This window comes from Homo sapiens, chromosome 10, assembly GCF_000001405.40.
Source record: "Homo sapiens chromosome 10, GRCh38.p14 Primary Assembly".
Taxonomy (NCBI): Eukaryota; Metazoa; Chordata; class Mammalia; order Primates; family Hominidae; genus Homo; species Homo sapiens.
In genome coordinates, this window is record NC_000010.11 from 115016286 (window position 1) to 115030924 (window position 14639).

The window sequence follows — 14639 nt, forward strand, 5'->3', positions numbered from 1 at the left end:
AAAAAAAAAAAGCTGGGTGTGTTGGCTTATGCCTGTAGTCTCAGCTACCTGGGAGGCTGAAGCAGGAGAATCACTTGAACCCGGGAGTTGGAGGTTGCAGTGAGCTGAGATTGCCCTACTGTACTCCAACCTGGGTGACAGAGAGAGACTCCATCTCAAAAAAATAAAGAATTCTTCGGGCAGCAGTCTTTCCTCCACCTCATAGACCATGGAGGTGAGCCAGCTCTGACAAACCATGAGAACAATGGCAGAGACATACCTGTAACGTAACTGACTGGGGCAAAGACAAAGGTGAGGAAAATGACAAGTTTGAGGAACTATGAGACCAGGCAGTGGGGAACACCACTAGCAGAAATGATGGAAGTTCTCAAGAATAACAACAGAGAAATAGACCATGGCCAGAGTCTAGAACCCTCCAGGGAAAGGAGATGGGCTCCAGAGGCAGAAGAGGACGTTGAAGGGAATGGGGAGTGGGTGAAATATATAGACGATGGGGACCACCCAAGAGCAGTCGCTATTGCAAAACTGAGGAGAAGGAGAGTCTGGAGGGGGTGGTGGGAAGCTGGGTCTCCTAAGGAGGTTTTGACAAAAGCAGTCATGGAGCGGGCTTAGAAATCACAGTTGGGGACAGGGTAGAGTTCCTCGGGATATAGAGGATGAGATTAGAAGAGGTTCCAACTAGGGTAGTGTGGAGAAAAGCACTATTGACCCAAAAAGGAAGGAGAATGTGGGTGGAAGTGGCAGAGAAGAGGGGTTTGAGCAGAGAGTGGTGATTTTTCTAATGCAGAGTTGTGGGAGGTGGAGTGCAGGGAGCCAGGCTGGGTGGCTGTGCTGATGTGATTAAGCACTTACTGACTGCCAGGCAATGGGCTAAGTACCTGAGATGCTTTGTCTGTTATCCCTCCCGAAACCCCTCTGAGGCAGGTGCAGTTATTATTCTCACTTCACAGATAAGGAAATTGAGGCACAGAGAAGTTGAGTAACTTACCCAAGGTGACATAGCTCATATATGGTAAAGCAGGCTTTGAACTCAGTCTAGCTCCCGAACCTAAGCTTGTAACTACTATGCTTTTCCCAAAAAAAGGGGGCTGGCACAAAAAGAGCTGAGGGGGGCTGGGCATGGTGGCTCATGCCTGTAATCCCAGCACTTCGGGAGACTGAGGCAGGTGGTTCACCAGAGGTCAGGAGTTCGAGACCAGCCTGGTCAACATGGTGAAGCCCTGTCTCTACTAAAAATACAAAAATTAGCTGGGTGTGGTGGTGTGCACCTGTAGTCCCAGCTACTTTGGGAGGCTGAGGCAGGAGAATCGCTTGAACCCCAGAGGCGGATGTTGTAGTGAGCCAAGATCATGCCACTGGACTCCAGCCTGGGTGACAGAGTGAGACTCCATCCAAAAAAAAGAAGAGCTGAGGTGATGGCCACCATCAGCATCAGCCTGGAAGTTATAGCAGGATGCTAAGTTTCTCTAAAGCTGTCTTTCTTAGGACTTGAAAAAGATAACTTGGGTTTGTATCCCATCTCTGCCATTAGTAGTTTACTGGCTTTGGATAAATTACTTAGCCTTACTGAACCAACTTTGGATTTTTATAGAGATACTGTAATGAAAGGAATAAGGTATCAGTCTTAGCAGAGCATCCAGAGTGTTCCTATTAAAACCTAAATCATATCCTGTCATTGCTCTGCCCCAAACCATTCAATGGCTTCCCAACTCAAAGTTAAAAACTCATCTTTCCAGTGGCCTGCAAGAGCCTATGCTATCCGGTGTCTGACCTCATCTGTTGTTCCTTTCTCCCTCCCTTTCTTGGCTCCAGACGCACTCTGGTCTCCTTGCTGTTCCTTGAATACACCAGGCACACTCTCTTCGCCTGAAACACTTTACCCCAGATATCTTAGCTTACTCTCTGCCTCCCTCAATTCATTGATGAAATGTCTCAGTGAAGTCTTCTCTCTCTCCTCTGTAAAAGTATACTCTCTGTTCCCCTTCTTTACTGTTCTAGCTACTATTGCTGTGTAACAAATCACTCCCCAAATTTAATGAGTGAAAACATCAGCCATCATCTTATTTCTCACGGTTTCTGAGGGTCAGGAATTCTGGAAGGGCTCAGCTGGGAGGTTCTGGCTCTATAATCTCTTATGCAGTGAGAGTCAGATGCTGGCTAAAACTGAAACAAAGCAGGGTTCTAGTAGCTGAGGGCTGGCTGGGTCTCTCAGATATAGTTCAGATCTCCTCCAGGGGGTCTCTCCACGTGGGCTAGTCTGAACTTCCTCACAGCATGGTGGCCTCAGGGCAGTGGACTCTGCATAGTGGCTGAAGGCTTCGCAGCTGAGTATTCCAGCAAGCAAAGTGGGAGCTGTATTGCCTCATATGACCCAACCTTGGAATCCACACAGCATCACTTCCGTGTATTCTACGGGTTGAAAAGTCACAAAAACCAACCAGTTTCAAGGAGAAGGAACAGAGATCACATTTCTCAATTGGAGAAGGGTCAAAGTCACATTGTAATCAGAGCCTATGGGATACGAAGTATTGCGGTCAGGTATGAAAAATTTGATTTGCTGCATCTGCTTTACTTTCTCCACAGCGTTCATGATCTGCTTCTCACATGATATTGACTTACGTCATTTCTGCATTTCCTGTCTTCCACACTAAAATGTCAGCCTGTTTTGTTCACTGCTGTATCCCCAGAGCCTAGCACGGAGCCCAGCATGTAGTGGTATCCAATAAATACTTGTTGCATGAATGAATTCTGTCTTTTAATCCTAGCTATAGGTTTCTAAGTTAAATATTACTATAATCATCTTACAGACGAGGGAAATGAGGCTCAAGAAGATTTGGTAACTTATGCGGGATCACTCAGCCACATAATGGAAGAGACAGCATTGAAGTACACATGCTTGCTCTGTCTGCTCTTCCAAGCTGCTCATCACACAGCTGCACCTCTGAGGACTTCCCTCCCCAGTCCACCTCCACCCTTACCCAGAGACACACATGGCCACAATCCACTAGCAGACCAAAATTCAATTTTTCCCCAGTTGGTTGCACTCAAGCTGAGAGCAAAGCAATTGCACTTTAAATCCCCTTACAGCAGATATTTCAGAGCATGTTCGGAAGAACCCATCACACTTGGCTTTTAGATCTTATTTCTGGTTTGTTACAAAAACACAATTAAATGAAAGGTTAGGTAGCTTTTGAATGGCCAGCTCAAAGTTTTGGCTTATTTTTGCCTTGCTGTCTTTATAGGCATTTTACCAATATTTATCACTATTTCCCTTAGGGAACCCTTAGATCTGTGATATTTGAAATAATAAAGCCTCTCCATTGGCCCTTTAAAAGGTTTGTGGTAAAACCACACCATTAACATTCACAGTTCCTTATTTATGAGGCCTGATTGCACTTATTTCCATATTTCTCACTGTTTCTCCGATGAGGATTTCACATAATAGTGTTTGAAGGCTAAAGACTTCAAAGCAGATTCTTTACTATTTTTATCTTGAAAAATATTCAATATTTGTGTAATTAAAGTGAAGTCTTCCTAGAGAAAATGACAACTCAAATAATCTTAAATGTACCTCCAAGAAAAAAGCTGTCAAAGTGACATTTAGTAGTAGAGTCACATTCTCTAAGGCCTTTGCTTCTCCTTCTGAGTTCTTATCATCTTTGAAGGTTATGTCATGGCTGACTTCAAATCACTTTTAAAATTATTATGGCCTTCTTTAAATGTGAGTTCTGAAGGTGAGGGGCTTTATCTTTCTTTTGCTCCAGATTTTTTCTACCGCGTCATTACCAAGCATCTTAAAACAAAACCTAAAAACAAAAATCTTCCTTGACCTGGTTTTTCCCACTAGCTAACATCCTATTTTTATCTTTCCCTTTGCACTAAAGGTTTTTAAACGGATCTTTATACCCTCTGTCTCCATTTTCTCATCTGCTAACTTATATGGCAAAGATTACCACTGCCTTTCAACATAATTGGCCAATCTACAGAAAGTTTTCAAGTTCTCTTTTTAATTGACCACCTCCTGCCTACCTCCCCACCTTTGACATCTTGCTTCTCACTTGGCACCTTACCCAGTGTTCAAGATTCCCTCCTTTAGGATGTCTTCAGAGCAGCTACACAGTTGGTACTATAATTTATACATCCTTGTACACAGGGCTTGCTGGGATATTGATGGAGAGAAGGAGGAAACTGGAAGTAGTTCAGGCCAGAGCTAGGGAAATTGACCCATCTCCAGGTCTCAGGTCTGCAAGGGGAGCTCACAGCTTAACACATGGAGTCTAGAAACTTGTGCTGGACCTTGACCAACACCAGCCCATGGAGTCCAATACAGTGCTCAATAGGGATTTCCAGGAAATTGCTATATTTATTCAAAGAGAACTTACCAAGTGTCAGCTACGTGTTGGGCATTGTGCTAGGCACAGGGACCACAAAGATAAGACATTGTAGCTTTCCTTAAGTTGCTCACTGAGTAAATAGAGAGACAGAAAGGTAAACAGGTAAGTGCAAAAATACATACAATTCAGCAATAGTGTTCATAGTGGCTATGGAGAGAACGCTCACTAACTTTGTTTAAACAGTTGTTCTTTCAAGGATTTGACATGGATTTGATTGGAAAAGCATGATACCATTTTTTGCAATTAAACACAGGAATACATAAATAAAATGCATCAGTATTTTTTACAAATAGCTACTAAGAGCTACTAGAAAACCTGGGAATTCTTAAAACCTTACCATGCTACTTGCTCTAAAATATTTTATTTTATGTTATTTTGTACATTTCTTTACCTACACAAACACCACTGTTTTCTTCATTTCTTAGTCTATTTAAACCTCACACCCTTTCAGCATCTCTTAATTATTTACTACCATCTGTTAGTTCTCCTGTCCTGAATGAAACAAAAATGGCAGAATGTAAAACGAGGGCGAACAGATTTTTGACAGGAAGTATTCAGAGGTAGAAGGAAATAGTCAAGACACATATGATAAACGAAAACAATAATAACTTTATACATAACAACTTATAGACACATTTAAAAAGTTTAAGATCTCAAGAGCTATGTCTGAATAGATAGAAGTAAAAACTCTATTAAGTAATTAGGAAAATAACAAGAACAGTGAATTTCTTAATGAATGGCATGTAATCAAAACTGTACTTATCGTCTAATTCATAATCTTGAATGTTTTTATTTTATTTATTTATTTTTTTATTTTTTGAGACAGAGTCTTGCTCTGTCACCCAGGCTAGAGTACAGTGGCGTGATCTCAGCTCACTGCAACCTCCACCTCCCAGGTTCAAGCGATTCTGCTGCCTCAGCCTCCTGAGTAGCTGGGATTACAGAGGCCTGCCACTGCACCCGGCTAATTTCTGTATTTTTAGTAGAGATGGGGTTTCACCATCTTGGCCAGGCTGGTCTTGAACTCCTGACCTCATGATCCACCAGCCTTGGCCTCCCAAAGTGCTGGGATTACAGGCGTGAGCCACCACGCCTGGTCGAATGTTTTTATTATTTGAAGAGACAACATGGGCCTTAAATCTGTCTTCTATTTGACAGACTTTGATGGAGTCAAATCCCAATGCTGCCACTTACTGAACGGCCTTAAATGACTTAGTCTCTCTCAGCTGTCTTTCTGCATATGTAAGGTGGAATAATGATGGCTTCAAGGAGGAATAAACCTATGAAAAGTGTTGAGGATAGTGTCTGATATGAAATAAGGATTCAACAAGTAGTAGCTGCTATTGAAGATTTAAGAGTTATTTATTACAACTATTTAATAAAATTTTAAAAACTAATACACTTAAATTATTAAAGAGCTTTGAAATGGGCCAGGCGCAGTAGCTCCTGCCTGTAATCCCAACACTTTGGGAGGCCAAGGTGGGCGGATCACCTGAGGTCAGGAGTTTAAGACCAGCCTGGCCAACATGGTGAAACCCTGTCTCTACTAAAAACGCAAAAATTAGCCAGGTGTGGTGGCATGCACCTGTAGTCCCAACTACTCAGGAGGTTGAGGGAGGAGAATTGCTTGAACCTAGGAGGTGGAGGTTGCAGTGACCCGAGATGTCACTGCACTCCAGCCTGGCAACAGAGCAAGACTCCATAAAGACAACAAAAGCTTTGAAATTGTGTAAATGAGTTGTACCTATCTTCATTTAAGAAATTCATCTTTGTTCATTTATTTTTACTTGACATGAGAGCTTCCAGCAATTTTTAATTAAGCCCTCACAGATTTTATGTCACTGGCTATGTGATAAACAAATTATTTGCTAAAATAATATTCTTGCTTCTTTTTTAAGGAATTGTCTCCCTAGAAACGGTTTGTACCAAACAATACACTGACTTTACACAAAATCAGATCTGATTGGCAACAGTTGCAGATGTTTTCAAAAGATTTTCATTTGAGAAGGGGCCCATTTGGGTTATTTAGATTCTAAGAACTGAAACTGCTTTGTTCTGTTTTTCTGGCTTCTGGGAGAGGAGGAGACATGAATTCAGTTAGCACCTTGGTATTTTCTTTATCCTTCATTTCAATACAGAAGATGCTTCATATGCACAGTGGTGTCAGGTCACATCAAAAGAAAGAGAAACAGTTTCTTGGTTTTTAATTTTCAACCGGAAAGGAAAGGCACCCATTTTGTTCCGCTCTAATTAGCCAGTGCATGACTTAGAGAGCAGGCAGATGCTTTGAAGGCGTGGTAACACAGGTCTTCATTAATCTCCACGCAGGACTTGCACTTCTACTATGCCTAGGCTGAAGAAAATGGCTCAGGAAGATGAACAATCTCACAGAGCCCTAACTAACTGAAGCCAGGTGTTATAAAGCACAAGTCAAGAGGGTGAGAAACTAACGTTCTTGAAATCTCCCACTTCTTTCTACGTCAGAAGAGCCAAGCTGATTATTTTAGTTGGAATTTAGAAATTTTTAAAAATTATTCTAAAGTCATGAACAAGCCTAATTATAAAGATAGTTGCTGTGAAGGTGCTGAGATAACTCGATTTTACCAACCCCCTCTTCTGGAGGAAGCCAGAATGGAATCCTGTAGAATGTTCACTCTACCAACGAACTCTTGTTTTTCTAATGAGGAAACAGAGGCCCACAGTAGTAAACTATCTTAACCAAGACAAAATGACTAGTGCTCTGGTCCTTTTATTAAGCACTAAAATTTTGATCCAATAATAAATCTGTCCAGTAGAAGGAGTTTCCCTAATGTACTGGTTCTAACTTGTTCCCTTCAAGGGGCCAGTGTCCCGTACACATAGCTAAATGGGACTTCTCTTCAACTACCATTACCCAGAGGGCAGAACCTAAAATGCTGTGAATGACATTCTGCTGTTCACATCTCAGCAGCAGTGTTGCATTTGAGCTTCTGCAGGGCCACCCAGGACCTATATCTGCTCAGATGTTTAACTCATCTAATTCAGTGAACACTTCATTCTAGTTAACTGAACATCTACTTTGTACAAGGCACTACAGCGGTTCAGAGATGAATAAAATCATGAGATTCCACTGTCTCCTATAAACCATCACTTTGGGAAATTTTAGAAATGTGGGTAAGCTCCAGGGCTTCCTGCAGCGTAGAAGTCACAAACTCAAATGCCTGCAGAGGCCCAGCTGACAACATAAGTAAATGATTCTGGCTGGGCGGAAAACAATTACGGGTGGGTGGGTTTCCAGCTGGGGAGTGCACGCCTGTGTTAAAGGACAGCTGCTACTCATTTCCAGCCAACTGTGTTCCCATGTAGAACTGCGGCCCAGTGTAGCCAGTACCGAAGATTTCTCAGAAAAAGCCGGAGATCTCAATGTTAGTGTAAAATCTCTCAAATTTCCAAGAGGATTATATGGGGCAAAGGTTCTCAGATCAGTTTGCAGTCTCTTACTTAGCCCATGTGCAGAGCAGTCGTAGAGGGTAGCATGCAGTGTCCTACATAATAATTCTTTTTTATTTTATTTTATGCCTTCCTCCTTCCTGTCTCTCTTTAACCTTTCTTCTTCCCTCAGGCTGGCTTCTTCCCTCAGCCTCGTCCGACCCCAGCCTGGGTTCAATGAACATTCGGTAAAGGAACACGGAATGTCAAGCGCATTAGAGACAACCTTGAGACACATTCCTCTTGCGGTAAGCACTTCACTGTAGATTTTTAATTTTAAACAAGACAATGTTTACGACTTGCTTCTTTCAGGGAAGAGCGATATCAATTTTAGTGAACACTTCAAGGCTGAGATACGCTAGGAGAGTCGTGTGGTGTTGCACAGCAAAGAATTCCACTTTGAAGCGAGTGGGAAAAAAAGCATCAAATGCCACATGTAACTCACCGCCTGAAGGGTTACATTGGTATGAAACCTGGGTTTAAAAAGGGACCGAATAGACTAGCCATTAAAAGACCTGCGTACAACCTCTCTCTCTCTCTTTGAGAGATAATGTATCTGGACAATAAACATGAACAGAGTGGAGTCTATCCTGTTTAAAACATTGCCTACTGTACAGGCACCAGGAGCTGAAGGGTCAGAATATTAGCAGTGGGAGCTTGATTAGAAGTTGATGAGAGATGGGTAGTAGGAGGAAAGAGTGAGATAGAGGAAGAGGACATGGGGGTTACCCGTAAGTGGAGAGTAGAAAAGTAGAATCAGCTGGCCATCAAAGGGCGTGGGACTGAGGAACAGTATGGCATGTATTAAATATACTAAGCGCTGACATTGGAGGAGAACTAGGAAGGTAAATGAAATCAATAGGGGATGATGGAGAATAGTTAGGTGTGCAGGGATTAGGGTTATGATAGAAATACATGTGAATACATGCAGTATTGTCCTGGAAAATGGTTAACAGTTGGTTCTCCTGGGGGGTGAGGGGAAGCCCTGATTTGTAATATTTGCCTATTTCTGTGGTGCAAATACTCCCACCATGACCAGTTTCAAGCTATGAATGTGAAGTCACAGAAAGCAGGGTTGGGAGGAGATGCGCACATTTGTTCCCCGGCAAGGTGGAAGGTAAGGAAGGTGAAATCAACAAGGTCAAAGAAAACTCAAGATTTCGAGGTGCCTCAGGTCTGAGGGGCAATGAAGTCTAGGGAATGGCTGTGCTGAGGTAGCTGAAATAGAAGTGACTGCAGAGGTCATGAAGCTGAAGAGGTGAAAACAGAAATTAGAAAGGCAAACCCCCACCGCCCAACCCCCACCCCTGCAGCCAGTTTCTGAGGGTGACAATAGAGGAAAGGGTGGAGATGGAGTTCAGGTCCAGAAGCCATAGAAGCGAGTGTGACATTGTGCTCAAGGTCAGCACATGTCAGTGTGGGGTGTCACATGCTGTTGTGAACCATCATTTATCACCAATTATGGAAGACCTCCTATGGGCATCTTGCCATATGCATTATAAAGATGTGTAAGAAGACATTTCCCTCCACTTGGTGAGGAGAATTAGGGCTGTACACAGATACTGTAGAGTGCCATGTGCCTGGTACAGATAAGGTGTGTTAGAGGTTAAAAGATGAGGCTCTTAATATTAATGATAGATCCCACTTACCTGAGTCTGACTTACAATGTGCCTAGCATTAAGTGTTTTACCTGCATTCCCTTTGACCTTCAGAACAACCCATTTTACAGATAGGGAAATTGGGTCAGAAAGTTTCAGTAACTTATCCAAGGTCACACAATTGGCAAGTGCCAGAGCTGAGCCAGGAACTGAGGTCCTTCTAACACCAAACAGCTTGTCTCCCCAATCACTGTGCTATTTTCCCTCCCCCAGAAGATAATACTCTGATGGAAATGAAGGATAGTGTAATAGGAGATTCGGTGTTCCTTTTTTTAAAAAAAATTCAGCTTGCATATTCCTAAAGAGTCAATTCATGTTTAAAAAAAATTTCCCTTGTGCTTGCATGTGACATGTATTTTTAGGATCTGCTGTTAGCAAGTGTATTTTTGTGTGATTGAGTGGGAGAGTGGGAAAAGTTTTGCAGAGCTGTTGAAGCCAGAATGCAGGGGGGCTGCGCAGCAGAGACTGTAAAATCTCTGCCATCTCAGGTCTTGGAACAAGCACAAAGAGATGTGTTCTCGATTTATTATTCTATGTACATCCCCAGATGAATGACTAGTTAAAGGTATTGTTAAAGCATTTTAAATGACCCACTTCCAGCAGCGAACAAAATCACTTGCTGTGCCAAGCCAACTGGCATTTCTGAGATGATAAAACCACAAAGTGAGGAAAACGTTAAAACTGCTAAAGCAAAAATGATACACAATAATGGAGAAGGAGAAAAATTGAGCTTTATTGTCTGCCTAGGCAGATGGCTGACCACTAGGTGGGCCTCGGCGTCACGTCCAGGGTAATTGGTTGCTGGGGTGTTTCTGGCGAGGAAGATTCACGCTTCAGCTCGGTCCACAAGATCCTGGCTCATTCTTTCCTAGATTCCATTTTCTGCGTCCTCTCCATGACTGGGTCTGATGGTTGATCCAAACGGGCAATTGAAATCAGAAGGTTACCTTTACCTTAAAATGCTTTTCTGGAAATAAAAGGACATGAAAAGTAACTAAGGACCGGATTTCCTAGCCGTCTTTCTCTCCTGCATGCGCAATTTATCCCCAGATATAAAATTGCCTGCTTTGATAATTATACCCTCTAAATGAGGGGCAAGTGGCTAATTATGCCCACATGTGGCCGATTGCACTCCCCATTAGCCAATTATGTGCTCAATTATTTGTGCACATGAATAATTGCACTCATGGAAAATAGCGGCCCTCCTTTCAAATCCTCCTGCTTGGAGTGGCTGATGGAGTAATTGTCACACTGGAAATGCACTTGGTGGGGAGGGAAAGAGTATCAGATACCAGGAAACGCATAAGTGACCAGAGCTCGCAGATGTTCACTGCCACAAATGGCCTTAGGAGCCAGAGAGAGCGGGAAGGACCACAGGATGGAACGGGCCAGCCTGTGAGTTAGGAAGCCTGCTTCTGAAGTTGCCTGGGCAGCTCATGTGCGGTGACCTTGGGCAAGTCATTAACTTTCCTTCAGGTCTAACTGGTTCTGCATACACAATGAGGATGGTAATAACGCCCAATTCCCATCACTATCGTGGGATGGATCAGACTATTTAAAAGGATTTACAATCTGCTTGGGTAAAAGCTTTACATAAATATGAGGCATTATCATGTCGCTTGGTACATCTCCAATTATGAAGGAAGGGTAATGACCCTCCACAGCAATGCAGGACTCCTGGTTTGGAGGGAGGGAAAGTTTGAGAAGGACAGGAAGCTTGTTGCCCCAGCACTGATGTTTCTACTGAGGTACCAGAAAATGTCATGTGGTCATACAGAATTCATTTATTCATTCAACAAACATCTGTCAATTGTTACACTGTCCTGAGAATTTGGAAAAATGATGAAAGACTCAGTCCTGCCTTAGGAGGTCACTGGCACATTGGCCCGGGCCCCTGTTTTGGGCCTTTTACTCTGACCTGTGCTGATTTGCAAATAGTGGGAAATTTTATCTCAAGTCTAGGAAATCTGGCATGCATTTTCACGGTTTGATTGCCAGGTACATTCGATGGCAATGAGTCTTATAATGTTTGGTTACCTTCATTTACCTAAGAACTGTGGTTGTTGCTGTGGTTGTTGTTTTTGTTGTTTTTGAGACGGAGTCTTGCTCTGTCATCCAGGCTGGAGTGCAGTGGCATGATCTCCGGTCACTGCAAACTCCACCTCCCAGGTTCAAGCGATTCTCATGCCTCAGCCCCCTCAGTAGCTGGATTACAGGCGCGCACCACCATGCCCGGCTAATTTTTGTATTTTTAGTGGAGACAGAGTTTCACCATGTTGGCCAGGCTGGTCTCGAACTCCTGATCTCTGGTGATCCGCCTGCCTCGGCCTCCCAAAGTGCTGGGATTACAGGCGTGAGCCACTGTGCCCAGCCGGAACTGTGGTTTTAATGACAATGCTAAAAAGTGGTATATGTCACAGTGTCGGGTGGGGCTAAGAGGCACATTGCTGCAGTGATCCATCATTCATTTCCCACCATTCTCGCCTGGATTAGCGCAGCAGCTCCCAGAGAGGCACCTCACTTTGACCTTCTTCCTCAAAGACATTCTCTGTGACCTGCCTGGCCCTTATTACCTCTCTAGCTTTGCCACTTCCCTATGTCTCCATCTCCCCTCTCACACGTAGTAGAAAGAGACTCTACCTCATGGAGTAAGGAGAGGCTTCACAGAGGCAGGATTGCTATTAGTCTTCAAAGATGAGGTATTTGCTAAATGAATGAGACAAAGGGATTGGGGCCACATTACAGGAAATTGAGGTATGTAATAGCCTGGTGCAGGTTAAGAGTGTGGACTCTGAAACCAGACTCAGCCTGGAATTGAATCCTGGCTGTGTGATGTTGGGCCAGTGACTTAACCTCTCTGTGCTTTTATTCACTCTTCTATAAAATGGGGATTATAATAAACCTACCTTATAAGGTTATTATAAGAGTCAGTAAATATAAAAATAGAAGTTTTTGGATGATGACTAGCACAGAGTAAACACTTGTTTGCCATTATTTTTATTACTTGACTAAAAATATACCAAAAAGACCATCCAAGAAAAGCCTTTAAGCTGCTAGTGCAGAAAGATTCCCCTTGTGTTTGTGTGCTGGGGGGTCAGTGGTGCCTGTGGCCCACTGGAGAGGAGACAGCTATGGCTGGAGTGATTCTCAAACTTCAGAATGTCTAAAATCATCACATGGACAACTTATTAAGGAAAGCAAATGCCTGGGCTCCATCCTCAGAGAGTCTCATTCACTGGGTCAGGATAGAGCCCAGGAATCTTTACCTTAAAGAACCATCCCACCTCCCACCTCATATGATCCTTATGCAGGTGATCTGGGGCCCACACTTTGAGAAATAGACTCAGGTCAAAGTGGCTCTAACTGCATCTCATTTCTCACCTGGCATATCTAATAGTAGAGAAGAAGACAATGCTAAGATTTTTGTTGGAGATCTTTTGCTGGGATTGCTGCTTCATTCATTCACTCATTTATTTATTTATTTATTTATTTTGAAACAGAGTCTCACTTTGTCACCCAGGCTGGAGGGCAGTGGCACAATCTGAGCTCACTGCAGCCTCAGGCTCCTGGGTTCAATCGATTCTCTTGCCTCAGCCTCCCGAGTAGCTGGGATTACAGTCATGCACCACCACGCCCAACTAATTCTTGTATTTTTAGTAGTGACAGCGTTTCACCATGTTAGCTAGACTGGTCTCGAACTCCTGACATCAGGTAATCTGCCTGCCTCGGCCTCTCAAAATTAGTAGCTGCAATTACACGTGTGAGCTGCCGTGCCTGGCCTGCTGTTTCTTTTAGTTGGGCCTCTTCTGTAATAGAGTGTGAGAATTCTGACTTGCTGCAACAGTCTGCTTTGAAGCAGGGCTGTGTTTACACTGGTCAGATGTGGAATTGTGGGGCACACTTAGCAGCTTCCTTCTCTAATTTTTCTGTATTTTCAGGAGAACAATTTTAAAAAATTTAATAAAAATGCCTTAAAAATTAACATTATTATAAGATGAATCCCATTTTTCTAATCTTGTAAATTAAAAACAATCATAAGCATATGAGCACCTGCACTTAGGGAATCAAGGTGGCAAAGCTAAACACTTCCAGCTCTAGGTGATTCGCGGCAATACAAATGGAGCTGGACTTTGGCCACAGTGCAAAAATATTGATCTGTTGTTAGATGCTCTGAAGTTTCCAGAAAGAATTGGTTCTGCCTGCTGTGCTTCAGTGCTTAAGGGAAGTGGTTCCTCAAAATGTTAGTTTTTAAGCCCAGCTTTCTTAAATAGGAAGATTCTAATAGTAGCAAAAATATAAACTGCTTCTAGGTTTAAAAAGGACCCAGCACACAATGGTTATCACACACCTTTCTCCTCAGGTGATGAGTGGATGAGTGGCCTGGTGTATTTCATAACATCTCCCAGGGTCCAAATGCTAAAGCAATTGCTGAAAAGATACCATGTGTACCGGAACCTTGCAGAGGTATTTTGTTGGCATAAAAAGAAATATTGATCATCTATAGTAAAAATGGTTCTACTTTAATACTACTGAGAAAAGATTTTCTTTTCCCAGATCTACATCCTGAATCTTCATGAAGACAAGATCCCCTAAACTTCCACTAACACCATAATGTGTGCTGTCCTTTGTAATGTAGTCCACAGATCTCATAAACTGTCAGAAATAGCAGAGATTGTAAGGTCATCCACTTCCCCTGTAAGGCCTGCGTCCCTCACTTACATCCCTAATAACGTCCTCTAACCTCTGCTGGAGGGCAGATTTAGCTGCCAGCTGGGAAGAGCTCTGCCCTAGTCAACATTTTTATCTGTGGCTTTCAGATGAGAACACTGGATGCTTATCTGAAAAAAGCTCCTCAGGCTGGAGGGAGGGATTGGCTCTAACAAGATGCAATGTGATAAGAATAAAAGCGAAGCCAAACTCTAGGCCCAAAGGCTCTAGCAACACACTTTTGAGAACCTTGGAGACGAGTTTTGGCTGATGCGAGCTTCTCCGCCTGCTAAAGTAGCCCATTCCATTTGGACGGCTCTAGAGGCTGGCATGTTCTTCTCCACGTTGTGTTAATGTACTCCAGTTTCTTCCTGCCATGAACTGGCATGCCCTGGCTCCTCCTACCTTCCCC

General features: G+C 43.1%; 2 long non-coding RNA genes across 4 annotated transcripts in view; one reads left to right on the forward strand and one right to left on the reverse strand.

The window, feature by feature from the left end:
* Window positions 1-6734: 6734 nt before the first annotated feature.
* The window catches only part of LOC107984272 (uncharacterized), a 39616-nt gene continuing 31711 nt past the window's right edge, over window positions 6735-14639 (forward strand). Inside the window, exons 1-2 of one of the 2 annotated variants that reach the window (XR_001747595.1) lie at window positions 6735-6832; window positions 7996-8110. This is a non-coding gene — a long non-coding RNA (uncharacterized LOC107984272). Of the gene's footprint in view, window positions 6833-7718; window positions 7799-7995; window positions 8111-14639 lie in introns of those variants that run through there. The other variant, XR_001747594.1, reaches the window with a different exon arrangement.
* Window positions 10227-13571, reverse strand: LOC124902509 (uncharacterized). 2 transcript variants are annotated; one of them, XR_007062297.1, is made up of 2 exons: window positions 11568-13571; window positions 10227-10487 (listed from the first exon to the last, which is right to left on the reverse strand). It is a non-coding gene; the product is annotated as an uncharacterized LOC124902509 (long non-coding RNA). The 2 variants fall into 2 exon arrangements; XR_007062298.1 differs by having other exon boundaries at window positions 11558-11611.